Genomic DNA, 19354 nt, shown 5'->3' on the forward strand with positions numbered 1-19354 from the left:
TAGGAAGGTGTAATATGCTACCTGAAAGATGAGTGGAGTGAGGGGCAGAGAGCAAAGATGCAGGAGGCTTTAGCTGCCAACTTCAAAACTACCATGGTCCTAGAAAAAAATATTTTATTCAAGCTCTTATTTCAAATTGTTGGTTTCAGCTATACTGAAGAAAATTTTAAGGTAAAGTACTTCCCTTTAAATTGATGAGCAATGAGCTATCAACTGACACTTAGACTTCACTCGGTTAACATTTATTAAGGAAAGACTCAGCAGGCAACATTCCTAGTTGCAATGTACAAAGGCGATGGTCTCTGTAGCAGGAGAGAGAAAATCAACAGGTAAAAAAGAAAATATATATATATTTTTCAGAGTGGCAAGAGCTGATAAAAACACGATGGTATGATTGAAAGTGTTTGCAAATTAAATTCAAAGGTAGGTAAGGGTGAATGTCAAGGCAGAATCAACTACACAGTTACTGGGAGCAGCTGTCATCTTAAGTTACACTCAAGCACAAGGTATTCAGAAAAAAATTTGAAAATTAATGTATCATGATGAGTCACCACCCAGACCTACATAGATTAGAGTTTTTTTATTTTATTATTTATTTATTTATTTTTTCATATTCTACTGGAGCCGTGGTAGAAAAGGCAGATGATTTATATCCACGTTGAGCACCCCGAGCCTCTCAGTCTATGTAATGGGCTTCTCCTCCACAATTTTTATTACAATATTCTTCTGGGCTTCATTATAACTTGATTATCTCCTTCTCTCACTAAATGGTAGGCTCTGTGGGAAAAGGATAGTGTCTTTTTCATTGTTTTTTACCTCCAGTGTTGAGGACGTAGTAAGCACAAAATGAATGTTTGCTAGAATGTTTTAGTGACTAATTTGATAATGAAAAGAAACAGTATTTTTCTCAATTTACCAGTAAAATCATTGAGATCTTGTACAATTAATTTATGTCTGAGTCTCATTTTTTGCTCTCTAAAATGAGCTATAAGACTAAAGTTACTTCCATTTCTACAAGTTAAAGGGAAGGATATCTGACTTCAGAATATTGAAAGGAGGGGGCCAAACTTTATCTTTTATTTTAACCATGAAGACAGCCAGTTTCCCAAAGGCTACACTTCAGAAAATGTAATTAAAACAAAGAAATAAAACAAAATCAAAGGCTCTCAGAATTTTTGGAGAAAGACAATGACTGTCAGAGTGATCACACATTTGAAAGGAGGCCTAGCCCGATAGATATAATTCAAACTGAAGTTAAACCCACTTACTGCTTAAGTTTCTACCTTAATAATCAGGCTTATTTTTATATTTTAATAATGACTTCTTAAGTTATTTAACAGAAGGCAATATGGAGCAGACTAAATGAATTACTGTTGAATAGATTATAGCCACATGGATGTTAACCGTACATACCTTAGGAGTAAAATGAGAAAGAAGACATATTTATAAATATTTTCATAGATTCACACAGGTCAAATACTGTTACCTAATTCTGTGAAGAGTTCCTGAACCATCAAAGGGAGCACATCTTACAGTAAAACCCATCTGCTGTCCACCCAAATATCTCCCATACTGTATTCAAAACCATTTCAATATTTTTGCATTGAAGTTTGGGCAAATTTAATAGATCAGGCTTTTATTGTAATGTGTCAAGAAATACACACACACTCGGGAGGCCAAGGCGGGTGGAACACGAGGTCAGGAGATCGAGACCATCCTGGCTAACATGGTGAAACCCCGTCTCTAATAAAAAATACACAAAATTAGCCGGGTGTGTTGGCGGGCGCCTGTAGTCCCAACTACTAGGGAGGCTGAGGCAGGAGAATGGTGTGAACTCAGGAGGCGGAGCTTGCAGTGAGCAAGGATGGCACCACTGCTCTCCAGCCTGGGCGACAGAGAGAGAGACTCCATCTCAAAAAAAAAAAAAAAAAAAAAAAAAAAAAGACAAAAAGACACACACACACATACATATACACGTTTCTTTTTTATTTTTATTTTATTTATTTATGTTTTGAGACAGAGTCTCACTCTGTCGCCAGGCTAGAGTGCACTGGTGCAATCTCAGCTCACTATAACCTCCGCCTCCCGGGTTCAAGTGATTCTCTTGTCTCAGCCTCCTGAGTAGCTGGGATTACAGGCATGCACCACCACACCTGGCTAGTTTTTGTATTTTTAGTAGAGATGCGGTTTCACCATGGTGGTCAGGCTTGTCTCGAACTCCTGACCTCAGGATCCACCCGCCTCAGCCTCCTAAAGTGTTGGGATTACAGGCGTGAGCCACTGCACCTGGCCACACATATGTTTCTTTATTTCACTGTTTCTTTTGAAATAATTTTAGATTTACAGAAATTTCCAAAAATAGTCCAGAATTTTTAAATATACTGTTCGCCCAGCTTTCCCTAATGATAACAACTTACATAACTACAATGCAATTCTCAAAAACAAGTAATTAACATTTGTGTAACACTCTTAAATCTGAGAGTCTCTCCAAATTTTACCATTTTTTTCCCCTAATGTTCTTTTTCTGCTCTGGGATCCAACCTAGGATCCTATACTCTATTTAGTTTTTATGTATGTCTTATTCTCAATCAGTGACAATTTTCATTCTTTCTTTATCTTTCATGATCTTGACAGTTTTGATGAGCACTGGTCAGTTACTTTGTAGAATAGCTCTCATCTGGGTTTTGACTGATATTTTTTCATGCTTTAACTGACATTTGGCAAGACTCCTACAGCAGTGAATGTTGTCCTTCTCAGCGCATCCGATTGGAGGGTCATGATGTGATGTTTTATTACTGGTGATATTAACTTTGATCATGGACGTCTCTACCAAAAATACAAAAATTAGCTGGGCATGGTGGCGCATGCCTGTAATCCTAGCTATTCGGGAGGCTGAGGCAGGAGAATTGCTTGAACTGGCACCCAGGAGGCGGAGGTAGCAGTGAGCGAGATCCTGCCACCGCACTCCAGCCTGGGCTACAGAGCGAGACTTTGTCTCAATAATAATAATAATAATAATAATAATAATAATAATAAATAAATAAATAAATAAAAAAGAAGGATATAATTTGAGGCTACACTAACATCCTATTTTTCCTTAAACTTTCGCTGGCTGATTTTCCAATTGATAAGTGGATCTTTCCTGCAGCAATTATCACTGCCACATTGACAAAGAGCAATTTTATATTTCACCTATTTCTTCTACACATATTAGTTGAACTCATCTGTAAGGAAGAACTGTTCCTTATTTATTTATTTATTTATTTATTTATTTATTTATTCGATTATGTATTTGAATAACGTTGTTGTCTTGGATTTTTGTTGTTGTTCCATGAATTATAATCCAATTCTGTCATTGTTTGATTGCTTAATTGTCCTACTTTGTCCCTGGGAATTTCTCCTGTTCATCTGGCTTTCTTTGGACACACCCGTTCCTGTTTGAACACCTCATTTTCTGCAGCCACAAAAAGCTTCAGGCTTATCTTGCATTTTCCTTGCCCCGACCTGAGCATCAGTCATTTCTATAAAGTGTCCTGGTTCCTGTTCTTGGAGACTGGTATTTACAGAAAGAAGGTATTGTTTCCTAGTCCACAGAAGATACTCCCTGGGAATTCCCCTAAGATTTGCAGGGGGCTGGAGGTCCCACTGGGACAGTATGTGGTCACGAGTTCCTAAAATTTGGACATAAATACCAACTGAATCCATTCTTAACCACTGTCTGGCAAGGTTTCAGGACCTTGAGGTTATAGGATTAAAGGCTATGGTGCTAAAAAATTAAAAATACAATATCCAAAGTTCCTGTTCTGATCATTATTCCAGCTACCGTCCTGTTCTCTCATCTCTACTCAGTGAGACAGCCAGGTTTTAAATTGATCTAGAAAATTTCCAAACCAGGATAAACACACGATATGAATATATTCCCTGCATTTGCAGCCTCAGGCCCAAGATTTAATCAGATGTGCTTGTTGTTTCATTAAACAAGGTGAGTTATCATTCACAGTGTTGCTTTAATTAAGCTCATTTGGACAATTAGAATGATTCATATTAATATTTGCATTATTTCTAAATGACAGAAAATGAGCATACTTTACAAGTATACTTGTTTATTTATTGCCATTTCCAAAGTATCCACACTTAGTTGGTTGTAATAAAAAATAGGAAAATATTATTTTCATCTTAAATTTTAACTGTAAGCTAAAATTTCATTCTATTTGAACATTTTAGCAGTTGCCATTTCCTTATTGATGGGTCATGGAATGAAATATAAAAGTACAGCATCTAAATGACAATGAAAAATGGTGCAATTGACTTAATAAATAGCTTGTTGAAATGTCTAATATCCATGAAGGTTTACCTACCTCTGGCAGGTTTAAAATGTATTAGCTAAACGAGAGGAACAGATTCACTGTTCAAATGTTAATTTATTTCAATAAATCCCTCAAAGCTGGAAGAAGAAATATCTAAAGCAATCAAAATTCAGGTGTTGTTAAATACATTAAATTCACATTACATAACAAATCTTTCTTATGCATTCTTAAATCTATCAGGTTACTATATAAAATGGAATGCTGGAATTCAGAGTTTGCAAAATACCCAACCAATCTTGCAATATTTGCTTGTTTCTTTATATTCCTCTTTTTTATGTATGTTGTATTGTAAATTATGTTTTTCATTTTTTGTACAAATTATCTCTAAAATATTTAACCAAGGCTACTGAAGTCTAGTTCCCCACTGTAATTCCTCAGTTTACTTTTGTGGTTACTCACTGTGCTGCTGTATTCCAGATATAGCCTGTTCAACATCCATCCATGGATTTAGTCATTTGTGTATTCATTAATTCATAGACCAAAACAAAGGACCACTCAGCAATCTGATATTAAGAATTAAAAAGCGAAAAAGAGAACGCAATAGCTTTATAAAGCAATGGCTTTCAATGTAGTACAAAATATAGGCAGCTGTTGAAATTATTGAAATATAATCAGTAACATAAAGTAGTAGCCTCCAAAACATGGACAACAAAAAGTGCTGTAAAGAGAAACCAAAAAATAACAAAAGCAAAACCTTCTGTTCTACATTTACCTCCGAGATTACTATGTAAACTTGAAAGGAATTATCTTCTCATGTGCATTTTTCCTCATCTGAAAATGAGAATATTTTATGGGATTATATGTCCTGAACTAATTTTATTACATACGTCTACATAATTATTTATTAGAATGTAGTTATTTCCTTTAATTTATTTTATAACTTTTTTTCTATAGTTCCTTCTTGAATTAACATGTTTTGGCCACTACTATAATGGTCTATATTTGATATGTATTATTCTCACATATTTTGGAAAGTAAAAATAAGCAAACAAACAAAAACAATAAGAAAAACCCTGGTACTTCACATCCTGACAGCTGTGGTGGATTAGGCTGTAAGAGATCAACCCTACAGCCAAGAACAACTAGAAAAGCTGAAAAAACAACCTATTTACACAATTAGAGGGCGCTCTAGTTTGAATGTTTGTCCCTTTCAAAACTCATGTTGAAACTCATTCCCTAATGAGGCAGTATTAGAGGAGAAGCCTTTAAGAGGTAATTGGGTCATGAGGGCTCTTCTCTCATAAATGGATTAATCCATTCATGAACTAATGGATTGATAGATTAATGGATAAATGCATTATCACGGGAGTGGGACTGGTGGCTTCAAAAGAAGAGAGACTTGAGCTCGCAAGCTCAGCCCCTGCACCATGTGATGCCCTGTGCCACCTGGGGACTCTGCAGAGCCCACACCAGGAGAAGGATTCCCACCAGACGCAGTCCCTGAACCTTGGACTTCCCAGCCTCCATAACTGTAAGAAATCAATTCCTTTTCTTTATAAATTACCCAGTTTCAAGTATTCTGTTATGAGCAACAGAAAACAGACTAAGACAGAGGGCTACCAAGGAAGTGAGTATTTGAAGGCCTCAAATCTTAGAAGGAGTCAAGGCCTAGCAGTGAGCCCTTCATTTCAAAATTTTTTTTTTCTCTTCCATGTTTGCTTGAAGAATTTGCTGAATTATAAGCTGTGATGCAGTGGTGGATAAAATGAGCAATAACTGGTATGCAACAGAGTGATAAATTACAACACTGGGGCTCCAATGGAAATGAGAGGGGAAAATATCAGTTTAGCATCTAGCAAAGAGAATGAGATCTGGTGAAGACCTCAAAGCTAACCAAAAACAGATCAAATGAAAAAAAATTAATAAAATAAAATAAACCTAAAACCTATGTTCAAAACAATTGAATCTGAATTGGATCAAGGTGATCCTCCCCAGACTAATGTGCCTGCCAGGGCAAAACTAAGTACCAAATAGTAAATATTTTAGGCACTGCAGGCTACATATGATTTCTCGCCACATATGACTGCTCTCTCTCTCACTCTCTCACACACACACACAGACACACACAGACACACACACATTTTAAACATGTGAAAAACATTGTTAGCTTGAAGAATGTGCAAAAACAAGCTGTGTGCCCGATTTGGCTTTCAGGCTGTAGTTTGCCAACTTGTGACCTAGGCCTTGAGTTGAACTTGCATGACGTGCTCCATGTCCTTGTCCATACTTGTCACCTTCTATTTTATTTTTTGTTGTTGTTTGATTTTGTTACAGCTATCCTGGTGGGTATGAAGTGGTGCCTCACTGTCATTTTTATTCGACTTCCCTAATGTCTGATCGTTTTAAGCTTTTTTTCATGTGTTTGTTGGCCATTTGTGTATCTTCTTTGGAGAAATGTCTACGTAAGTTCTTTGCCCATCTTTGGTATCTTTTTGTTGTTGAGCTGTAGGATTTCTTTATATATTGTGGATATTAAATCATCATCACAAAACTATAAAATAAAATAATTTACAAGATCGAATGACTGAAGAGCAAGAGAAGAAACATATCAAGCGATATACAATGTATGTTTTATTTACTTCTCTATAGATATATTATATTTCAGCCTAAATTGTATAGGTTAATAAATAAAAACATCAGAATATTTGTGCCATACATAGTGTTATTTTAATTTCCTCTTCATTTCATGTTTGAGATGTTTGTTATTATAGCTGTAGAGTAAAACAGATCTGAAATGTTTAAATCAGATTTCTCAAGTTCCTAAAAGCTGTAAGACTCGTGGACTCAACACCATCCCCTGTTTTCATTATTACAAACTCCAAAAGCAATGTAGATTTTTTTCCCACAGTCCCATTCCTGTGACACAATTACATAGCCTATGGCCACATTAATGAATAAAATTCACGAAGCATTAAGTGTTCTCTTCAAGAAAATTTTTTTTTAATCTCCTGAACAATTTAATTTAGAAAAAGCCCACTCAAAAATACAGTAGATACTATCTTTTAGCAGACTGAGTTTTTTTTTCTAGGAGATATTCAACTAGTTGAGTAGTCTAAATACTACTGTATTTTTAGTAACTATGTCTGAAAGTATTTCCTTAATTTATTATTCAATGTCAGAGTACTTTTGCAAAATCAATCCAAATATAATCTATTTCTCTGGGTTCAGTTTTTCATTCAAGATGTACAAATAATTAGAGACATATTCCTAATTTCTTCTGATCATATCATTTGAACCATATCGTTTAGCCTACATGATTCAGGAGTGACACAAGTGGATAATTGTGAGTTTAAAAATCCAATTTGGTTATATTAATATACTTAATATTGTAGATCTACATTCAGAGAGCATCACTCTTCTTAAATTAGGCACCCTGTATTTCCATCTGACCACCTTCATGTGCTCTGACTGTCACAACTGGTTGTTTGGTATTGAATTTGAGGTATTAGTGAATATACACATGTAAGTCCTGGAAATAAAAATTGGAATTTGGGCCAAAACTTTAAAAGATTTAGTTTTGAATTTAGCAGTCATCAACAAATAAACGAGAGATGGAATTGTAAAAGGAGACAAATTCACTGAAACTATACAGACAGCATAGTAAGTGCAGCATCTCCAGCTTGCATTTTCCTTTAAAGAACTTGGATGTGTTATCTCAACTGATAATGACAGCAATCTGTGGAATTAACAAAGAAAATATGAACATGCTCATTGTAGAACTGCAGAAACAGCTTGAGAGGTTTAATGACATCCACCATAAATGTTTAAAATGTGGATCCAAGACCAGAAATTGTATTTTCTCATTCCTAGTCTACCGCTTCTTAAAGTACGTGAATAATAATTACACTTAAGAGCAGGAGAAAAACATCCAATTAAAGGAGACAGAGTTAAGTGAGAAAGTACATCCACAAGATCTTGGTCAGCCAAGGGAGCAGTGTCAACAAGATGGCAGTGATAAGAATGTCAATTGCTGGAGAGAGTTCGGGGCTTTGCCACCTTGGTAGCTCTATGCAAATGTTATGTATTATTTACCACTGTTGTTATTATTCTGTGAACACACTAAAGACCATTAAGTAATTATGAACACAGGCTAACTCCTGGAAAATAAATGCAAAAGTCTTAGGAGGTCTTATTGGAGTCTTTTTCTGAATACAAAATGACAATAACCAAATGAGGTTTTTCAGTATGCATGGTGATAATAAGCTATTAAAATGAATGTGACCAATAGTTTTCAGAATAACAGTTGCTTGAACAAAATCAACATTTACATTCAAACTTCTGCTTACTCCTTATAGTCATAGCCTCACACTCCCCAGTTAGCTGGTTGTAAGTTAGTAAATCATACCTCATTGCAGAGTTACAGACACTCACAACATCTCTACAATGTGTCCAACACTTTGCTTTAGGGACCCCCAAAAAGCATATTTTTTTCTTCACTTCTTTTAGTCTGATTGCATTAAAGAAAACCACATAATAAGTCATAAAATCTCATATTTATCAGTTCCTTCTTGAGAAATGTCAGAGTAAAGGTTGTTTTGGTAATTAAAATGCTGAAGTTAAAAATGCTGATTGCTTACGCAATAATGGGATTTCTAAAACAAATGGCATCATTATATCCACAAACTTTTTTTTAAATTTATCAAAGTGCTCATTGTATTTACTCATATTAAGTTAAAAAATCTCAAAGTCTTTAAACTTATCTTCTGCTTATGCTTTAGATGTTGTCATGAGAGGATAATGCTTGTAATCCATGAAATTCTAACTCTGACACAGTGAGGATGGCAGAAAAGAGCCTGAGTCCCATACAATGTCATGGCACTGCCAAACTAACCCACATGGTCTCATTGAATACTATACAGCCATAAAAAGGAATGAAGTGGTGACACATAAAACAACATAAATGAATCTTACAGACTTTACATTGAGCAAAAGAAGTCAGACACAAACAATATATATACTGCATCTTTCTTTACACCTAAAATTCTAGAAAAGGAAAAATAATCAAAGGTAGAAACATAAGAGCAGTGGCTGACTCTGGAGGTTGAGGACTGAGAGGGAAGTAATATGTTGTGAAAATGTGTAGGTTACACCAGAACATCCATTTGTCAAAACTGCACTGCTAAGATATATGTATTTTGATGGATGTAATTTTTACCTTAAACACTGTAAAATAATAAGAAATCAACTAGCGGTGAGGGGAGTGGGTGGAGGTACAAACTAAGAATGGCAGAATGTTGATAACTACTGAAGATCGGTGATGTGTGAATAAAAACGCATTAGTTCCATTCTTACTTCTTTATATATGTTTGAAAATTTCTAGAACCATAAATTTAAAATTATCCCACAGTAATTATTTATTATAACTCAAAGAGCTCTTTCTTCTTTGAAACCAAAGAAAAGCCACCAGACAGACAAAAACGACAAAAACAACATGATATGACTTCTCACATTGACATGATCGCTGTTGGACCGTGGTAATGGAATCAAATCACAAAGATGTTCCTGCCTCCCATCTGCGGCTGATGGGACAGACTTGAGGATTGTATAGCAACAGTCAAATCCCACCATCGGGTTCCACTGTAATTTTTATGTCTGAATTCTGGCAACAATTTTGTTATTATTTGGTATCAGTGATGATTTGGTATTAATAATGAAATCTGATACTTCAATGATTTGCAAACAGGGTTGAATAAACTGTCATTTACCGTTTTGAGGATTAAGGGAAGTGGCTCCGATCATGTTCTATCAACAGCAACTATGGCCACAACAAAAATGAACGACATTTTATTTTCAATAAAAAACTGGTAGAAAAAAATGTTACCTGATATTTTTACCATAAGAATTAACAGTGACTTTTGTTTGCCAAAGTACCATGTCAGCCAGGCGAGATGGCTCACGCCTGTAGTCTCAGCGCTTTGGGAGGCTGAGGGAAGTGGATCGCTTGAGCCCAGAAGTTTGAGACCCACCTGGGCAACGTGGTGTGACCCTGTCTCTACAAAAAATAAACAAAATTAGCTGGGTATGGTGGTGCCTGCCTGTAGTCTCAGCTACTTTGGAGGCTGAGATGGGAGAATGGCTTGAGCCCGGGAGGTCGGGTGTGCAGTGAGCACACCATTGCCCTTCAGCTGCAGTGACAGAGTGAGAGCTTGTCTCAAAAAAAACAAACAAAACAAAACAAAACAAAAACCCCAAACACGTTTTTGCCATGGGAAGTCTCATCTGAAATGCCTGACTTTATATGTTTCTTTTCTTAATAACACGTTTTCATATTTATAAGTCCATTTACTTCTAAGGCAGATGTGCCCATTCTTCTAATCAAAGCCATGCTATTTCCAGGGCTCTAAATCATTTTAATTGAAAGTGTGCCCACAAGTGAATGAAGTGTAAAACCTTAGACCAGTTATTCATAACCTTTACTGCCATTAGACTCACCTAGGGAGGTTGGAAATCCCAGTGTCCACACTGCATACCATTAAACAAGAACCAAGATGTCTATTACTTGAGACAAGAGATGAGAGAACAGAGGGAAAGAGGAAAGTTATAGTTTAATTGACTACCAGGCACTGTCATCAGGATAGCATCCCTGAATTAGGCAGAAAAAACTAACTTAATGGGAGGATCATATTTTCTGATTTATTTGATTGATTCATTTGGATGATCTCTCTTTTTTATTTTTATTTTTATTTTTTTTTTGAGACCGAGTCTCGCTCTGTCACCCAGGCTGGTTGGAGTACAGTGGCGCGATCTTGGCTCACTGCAACCTCCGCCTCCCGAGTTCAGGCGATTCTCCTGCCTCAGGTTCCTGAGTAGCTGGATGATTCCTTTTTTATTAAAAAAAAAAAAAAAAAAAAACTTGCTGGTGCTATAATGGCATTGAAATGGATAACAGAAAATTGAACAAGGAAATGGAATCAGTCTTAAGTCTCTACTGTTCTTTATCATTCTTTGCGGCACTAAAGACAATTCACCCTTTAACAATTAAGAGAATTAGGTAATCTTTTAACACAAATAAAATGGTTTTGTGACTAATTGCTAAAGAGTACTTACAATACACTTAAAGAAAATCTGTGTTCACTTAATACAAATATTGTAAGTGGATATATAAACTTGCTGTGATTCATGATCATGGGCAGTTAATTACCTCAAAGTGATATTTTAGACTGTAAATTGTGATGTAATTTACAACTGGCATTAACGCTGTCATGATTATCTTCTAAAGAGCCATTAATATTATAAAATATGTCATGTGACACCCTTAGTATAATACCAGTGTATTGGGGTAGGGGAATAAATACAGTGCTAATGGCATTGCATTCCTCCATTATTTTTTACCCAGGAAATCACTGGAAATCTCATTAAATTTCTGTATTACTTTTTTGTATTTTGTGTCTATGCTTTTTTTTTTTTTTTTTTTTTAGACAGAGTCTCACTCTGTCGCCCAGGCTGGAGTCCAGTGGCGTGACCTCGGCTCACTGCAAGCTCCGTCTCCCGGGTTCACACCATTCTCCTGCCTCAGCCTCCTGAGTAGCTGGGACTAAAGGTACCCGCCACCACGCCCGGCTAATTTTTTTGTATTTTCAGTAGAGACGGGGTTTCACCATGTTAGCCAGGATGGTCTCGATCTCCTGACCTCGTGATCCGCCCGCCTCGGCCTCCCAAAGTGCTGGGATTACAGGCGTGAGTATCTATGCTTTTCGGCACTTTAGTTCTTGAATGTCCATAGCAATCATAGCCAAAATTTTAAAAAGGAAATTGAGAAATATTGCTAACCATATGAAAAATTGCCAGTAGTTTTCCATGAATTACAAATAGACTGTCTATGTTTCTAAAAATTAATGGATAAAAGGCGTGAAACAATAATTTGGCACAAAGGAAATACAAGTGCTCAGTGATTGAAAATATATTCAACCTCAACTGCAATGAAATCAAGCCAATGTCTCTCCTGAAAATCAATCCTGAATATGAAAACTATTTATTAACCACAGATGAATCGCAACATGACTTACAATAGCAAAAGGATGGCTTGCTACAGTAGATATAACCTATAGGTTGTTTTTCTCAAGACATTCCTTTTTCCTGCCTTAGCAGCCTCTTCAGGCTTCAACTCTGTCTTATCTGCTCATTATTTTAATTCCTGAAAAACATTTGAGGTGTTGAGTTTATTTGATTTCTAATTCAATGGAAGGCATTTAAGCTGTAGATCAAATACGTTTTGTCTGCTTGTTTATCTATCTCCTACAATGGCGCTATTCCAATAGAAATGTACCTGTCTATTTGTCTCACTCTACTTTTAATGAAGCAGGCAGCTCATTAATGGTGAGTACGTCATCTTACTTATTTTTCTAACTGTTGAAACCTTGTAGGCCCTCAAAAAATGTTGATGGATGAATAAACAATTCAACAATGAGCAAAAGGAACACCTGTCTTTGGTGAGATGCTTTCTCTGTACACAGAAGAGGTTAGAAACAAAAGACTTGGACAAAGTGTTCTTCAGTATGATGTCATTCATCTCTTCTGATTTCTCTCTCACATTCACTGGCATACAGAGTTTTTGACCACTTGAATTATGACCAAAACTATTTCTGCTTCTAAATGCCAGAGGGTGATCACTATCATTTTACTTTTCTTAAATTTCTGAGAAAAGTCCTGAGGCAAATAAGAATCATACACAGGCAAGAAAAGTCAGAGTTTATTATTTGATTCGGGAAAGTGTAAGCTGACATTTAATCAACTAGCATTATCCATAAAAGAGGTCTACACGAAGGTTCACGGGAGGAACAGGTGCAAGGAAGGTCGAGCTGAAGAACACATTCAAATACAAGGCAGTGTGGCTTAAACTTAATGTGGAGATTGGTGGTTAAGACAGAATCAGCCCCATTTGGTGTGATTATTCTCAATTCTGAGTCTCAATTAACATTTTGCTCACCTGAGAATTGACTATAATATAGTTGGAACACATAGCAAATTCCTTAAAAGCACATTGCTTATTTAATGGATTTGGTTAGTATGCAGCTTAAATTTCAACTTCATGTTGATGGTAGTACTGAGTGTTTTCTTTTAAATAATTTTAAAATTCTAATACTTGTCCTCGAAGTTTTACAGTAGTGAAGATTCCTCTTAAGCAGTCCTTTATAGCTATTTTATGTCTTCATTTTAAAAGCACAATACTCTGATGTATTAGCTCAAACATCCCAGATGCCAATTCCACATGGCGCTACCAATAAGTTGGTATGCAAATGTTGGGTTAGGTTTTATTTGTTTTGTGTGTGTGTGTGTTTAGCTTTTAATGTCTTGATACTTCAGGTATTAAGATATAACTTCTGGGCTGGGTGTGGTGGCTCACGCCTGTAATCTCAGCAATTTGGGAGGCCCAGGAAGGCGGATCACTTGAGGTCAGGAGTTCAAGACCAGCCTCGCCAACATGGTGAAACCCTGTCTCTACTAAAAATACAAAAATTAGCCGGGCGTGGTGGCGGGCACTTGTAATCCTAGCTGCTTGGGAGGCTGAGGCATGAGAATCACTTGAACTCGGCAAGCAGAGGTTACAGCGAGGCAAGATCATGCCACTGCACTCCAGCCAGGGAGACAGAGCGAGATTCCATCTCAAAAAAAAAAAAAAAAGTAATTTCTCCTAAAACATTGAAAAAATAAGTAGTTTTATTTTCACCAATAATGTTTTTACATCAAAGTATCACCAAAGTATTACCATGAATTTCATTACATCAAATATATAGTAGAAAGGTGATTATCTTGACATGAAAATAATGCTAAAATAACTAGAAGAGGAACAACAAAATCCTGGTTTTCTTTGTATATTGAGTTATGGACACATATCAACCACTTTATCATAAAACACAATACAATTATTTATTATTATTATTATTATTATTTTAGATGGAGTCTCACTCTGTCGCCCAGTCTGGAGTACAGTAGCGTGATCTTGGCTCACTGCAACCTCTGCCTCCCAGGTTCAAGTGATTCTCCTGTCTTAGTCTGCAAAGTAGCTGGGACTACCGGCACCCACCACCACACCTGGCTAAGAGATGGGGTTTCACCATGTTGGTCAGGCTGGTCTCAAACTCCTGACCTCAGATGTTCCACCCACCTTGGCCTCCCAAAGTGCTGGGATTACAGGCGGGAGCCACAGTGCCAAGCCATCTGGATTATTTAAGGCCATATATGAGTGAAAAGACTAGTGATAAATTAGAAAATATGGCTAGGGAAAAAAAGGTATCAACTTGTTAAGAAAAGAAACTCAGAGCTGGCCAAATATCCTAAGTGACGTTATAACACATTTTTTTTCCCCCAAGAAATGAGATAGCTCCTCAGCTGTTCCCATCTCCACTATCAGTACTGTTTGTATTATTTTTTTGCTTGAAGGTACTTCATCTACAGTCTACCTGAAAAAAGGAACAGTAAAGGATGTCTTGTACAGAAAGATAATTCCTGTTCCATCCCAGTATGCTTCTTTTAAAGATAAACATATTTACCATTAAGTTTAAACTACCATTAAAACTGTATGTCAATTCTAGAGCTATCTAAAAATTAAAAGGATTGATATTGCTTCTTTAATTTGAAAACTGTCAGATCTTAAAACATACAGTATCTCAGAACTTTAAAACCTTCTAATTAATAAAGCATTCATTTTTGTATACAGAGGTTTACTGGCTTAGATGTAAAGGCTGTTGTCCATTAGACAAAAGGGTTTTCTTAACACTAAACTGTATTTAATCATTTATTAAATTATATTTAATAAATGATATAATATAATAAAAATAATTAATGAGCTAAATCATCACAATAGAGTTTCCCAAAAACTATTCAGTAAAAGCCTAAAAATGGGAGAAAATTTTTGCAACCTACTCATCTGACAAAGGGCTAATATCCAGAATCTACAATGAACTCAAACAAATTTACAAGAAAAAAAACAAACAACCCCATCAACAAGTTGGCGAAGGATATGAACAGACACTTCTCAAAAGAAGACATTTCTGCAGCTAAAAGACACTTGAAAAAATGCTCATCATCACTGGCCATCAGAGAAATGCAAATCAAAACCACAATGAGATACCATCTCACACCAGTTAGAATGGCCATCATTAAAAAGTCAGGAAACAACAGGTGCTGGAGAGGATGTGGAGAAATAGGAACACTTTTACACTGTTGGTGGGACTGTAAACTAGTTTAATCATTGTGGAAGTCAGTATGGCGATTCCTCAGGGATCTAGAACTAGAAATACCATTTGACCCAGCCATCCCATTACTTGGTATAAATCCAAAGGATTATAAATCATGCTGCTATAAAGACACATGCACACGTATGTTTATTGCGGCACTATTCACAATAGCGAAGACTTGGAACCAACCCAAATGTCCAACAATGATAGACTGGATTAAGAAAATGTGGCACATATACACCATGGAATACTATGCAGCCATAAAAAATGATGATTTCATGTCCTTTGTAGGGACATGGATGAAGCTGGAAACCATCATTCTCAGCAAACGATCACGAGGTCAAAAAACCAAACACTGCATGTTCTCACTCATAGGTGGGAATTGAACAATGAGAACACATGGACACAGGAAGGGGAACATCACACACCAGGGCCTGTTGTGGGGTGGGGGAAGGGGGGAGGGATAGCATTAGGAGATATACCTAATGTAAATGACGAGTTAATGGGTGCAGCACACCAACATGGCACATGTATACATATGTAACAAACCTGCACATTGTGCACATGTACCCTAAAGCTTAAAGTATAATAATAAAAAAAAAGACTGCAAAATTAGACATCTCCAAAACTGTTTTCTGCACTTAGAAATTGTAGCAATAACGTCAAAGAAAATCAGAGGAGAACCCTACATCTTTTACGAAATTAAGAGATATCTAAAACCTGTAATCACAACACATGAAGAAATAAAAGAAAATGGAGAAGGGGTAACTGACCTAGCAGAGTAAGAAAGCTTAACTCAAGTTAATGGCCACTCTGGTGAATTTGCACAGAGTACTATGGAAAAATGTGAAAATTCTCATCTACCAATATAAAATTATCCAATCAGCTATTTTAGTGCCTTACTCTTAACTAAATAATAATAAGTACCACAAGATATTTGAGGAAAGCTCCCTACATAAAGAGACGGAAAGCAAAACAAACCAACAAGGGAAATCTTGGAGAAACTGTCAACATGACATAAACACGAAGTATTGTGAATAAACTAGAGAAGTAGTTCTCTTGGAAATTTAAAATGTAATTGCTGGAAGTTTTTAAAAAACAGAATACTTGGAAGATAAAATGGAGAAATCTCTAGAAAGCAACAAAGAAAAGAAAAGTAAAAGAAATGACCAAAAACAGGATCAAGAATAGGAGACAACCAACTCATGAAACTCCCAAAAAAATAGAACACAGGGAAAAAGGAACAGGAATTTTTTTTTTAACAGAAATGTATTTTCCAGGACTCAAGGCATGAGTTTTCAGATTGAAAAGACTCTAATCATAACGTGATAGGAAAATAAATTTCTGGACCTCAAAATCACTACATGAAAGGGAAATGTCAAGCAGGGAACTATGTCAGGCAAACCTGCCTCCAAATTATTCCTAAATAAGATAGCTACAAAGATTAAAAACAAACAAACAACAACAAAGAAAAATAACCACATACCTCCCTCACAATTTGTCCACAAGAAAATTCCTTGTGGACCTCAAGATCTTTACCCTAAAACAGTTCTGTTGGATTTCACCCTGGCAATGTAAACTGGTAGCTTGTCTTCACAGGTGTGGGAAAAAGGACAGAACTCAAAGTCATCCCTCCGCTCACCTGAGACAAATGCATATCTGATTGTTTTCTCTACCTTAATATGCTTATGTAAAAATGTAGATTCACTGAGCCTGACTAAGGCATAAGTGACTATTCCTCTATCCTCCTCGCACTCGTAAATTGTATATTTAGTGAAAGGCAGATCAATGACTCAAAAGAATGCAACCTTTTGTCTATTATCTGTGACCTGGAGGCCTCCACTTCAAGCTGTCCGCCTTTCCAGACCGAACCAATGTACATCTTACACATATTGGTTGATGTTTCATATCTCCCTAAAATGTATAAAACCAGGCTATGTCCCAAAAACCTTGGGTACATGTTGTCAGGACCTCCTGAGGCTGTATCAGGGGTGCGTCCTTAACCTTGGCAAGATAAACATTTTAAACTGATGGAGACCTGTCTCAGATACTTTTGGTTCACAATAACTACAACTTAAAATAACTTTACAGCAAAATTAGAACAAGGAAACCAAAAGGTACAACAGCAAGTCACTGACTGTGATTTACCACCTGACCATCTTCTAAATGTCTCTCAGGTCTACTCTGTTTCTCTCCAGCCCCACAATCACTACCCCTGCAAAGGCCATCGGCATCCCATCCTAGAACTCTAGGATCACTTTCTAATTAGGCTTTAGGCCCCCAGCTGGCCTTCTGGAATCCGCTTTCCACTTAATAGTCTGAATAATCTCCTTCAAATGCGAGTTCTTCCATTTTTTCCTTGCCTTAGGATACTGTGCTAATTTCTTAATGAGACTCTGGGAGTTCCCTGTCTTAGCCCTTCTTAGTTTTATTTTGCACCACTGTCTATACTCCCTGTTCTCTTCTCCTAGTTCCACCTCATCTTGATTCTTCAGAAAGATTTATTTTCCTTTAGATCCTACATTGAACAATTTTACCCCATCTGACTCCTACTCCTCATACATGACCCTCCCTTGAATAGAATGTACTCTTGACTCTTCCTCTGCAAGATTCCTATTCCAATTATCTCAGTATTAACATAATTTTCTCTTGAAAACTTCCTCCTGCCCTAGTCTTGGTTAGGTAGACACTTTGTTGGCCACTGAGCTCATCCCACAGGGTTTCATTGTCTTTCACCCATTTATGTTCCCCATTAGACTGTCTGCCCTGGAAGGAACCCTGTTTATTAACTGCTAGCATCTTCAGTGCATAGCACAATGCAGCACACTTAGTAGGCACTTGAGAAGATTAGCTGAATTGAGAAATGAACTGACGAGTGAAAGCTCACGCAATTCAAATAGTGGAATCCAAGCCATAAAGTTGTCATCTGGTGGTGGTGGAATGAGGTAATGAATCTGAAAGCATTTTCACTGTGCTCCTTCATTTTTCTATGAAAGTATCAACCCAAATACTCCTAAGGGGGTTACCCTGTGGATTCTCACAATATGCTCCAACAGTTAACTACTCTGTAAGAATTCTCAGCCCTCACTTTAAATTAAATTCAACTTAAACAAAATTAAAAATATGACCTTTTCCCTCATATTGGCTCCTTTCTGAATGCCCTTTCTTTGTATCAAAATAAAAAAGCGAAAGAATTAAAGAATTCTACTACCTTTCATTTGTATACAGTAATACATTCTTTGTTTTCTTATAAATATAAATTTCTTATAAATATAAAAATATAAAGATGTACCCTGCTTCACTCTTATCCCTCTGAGCCAGACCCTCCGCACTAAATATTACCTTCTAATACTCATCCCATACCCATGTGATGGATGCAGCCAAACTCACTTTGTTAAAACGCTGCTTTTCAGTGGGTATTTAAAAAATAATATATTCTCGTTGCATGTGTAGCTTTCTCTTACTGACTTGGAAAGTCTTCTATAATCTACCTTCAGTGCTTTCTCTTGGATACTTACTTTGTCATAAAATGTAAAATACATAAAAACTACAGGCAATTTCATATTGGCACTGAGCAAATGCAATTTCCAAGGTACTTTGTTGGGTTTTCCTTTTTTTTGATTTTCTTTTGAGTAAGTGTTTTCTGTATGAGACATTGAAACGTAATCCTTTCAGGTCTTCCACCCTTACCAAGAGTCAGCCATGAACATTTTTGCAGTTATTTTCTATGCTCAGCTTGCTTCTCTATTTTTACTTAGCAGGGTTTTTTAAGTGTTTAGCATCTCTCTTTGCTTAAAATTATTTTTGTGT

General features: G+C 36.4%; 1 protein-coding gene across 1 annotated transcript in view; it reads right to left on the reverse strand.

Moving 5' to 3' along the window:
• NALF1 (NALCN channel auxiliary factor 1) overlaps window positions 1-19354 on the reverse strand; it is a 703987-nt gene that overhangs the window by 132928 nt on the left and 551705 nt on the right. The gene's annotated exons all lie outside the window — the stretch shown is intronic.

Source organism: Homo sapiens, chromosome 13 (assembly GCF_000001405.40).
Source record: "Homo sapiens chromosome 13, GRCh38.p14 Primary Assembly".
NCBI classification, from domain to species: Eukaryota; Metazoa; Chordata; class Mammalia; order Primates; family Hominidae; genus Homo; species Homo sapiens.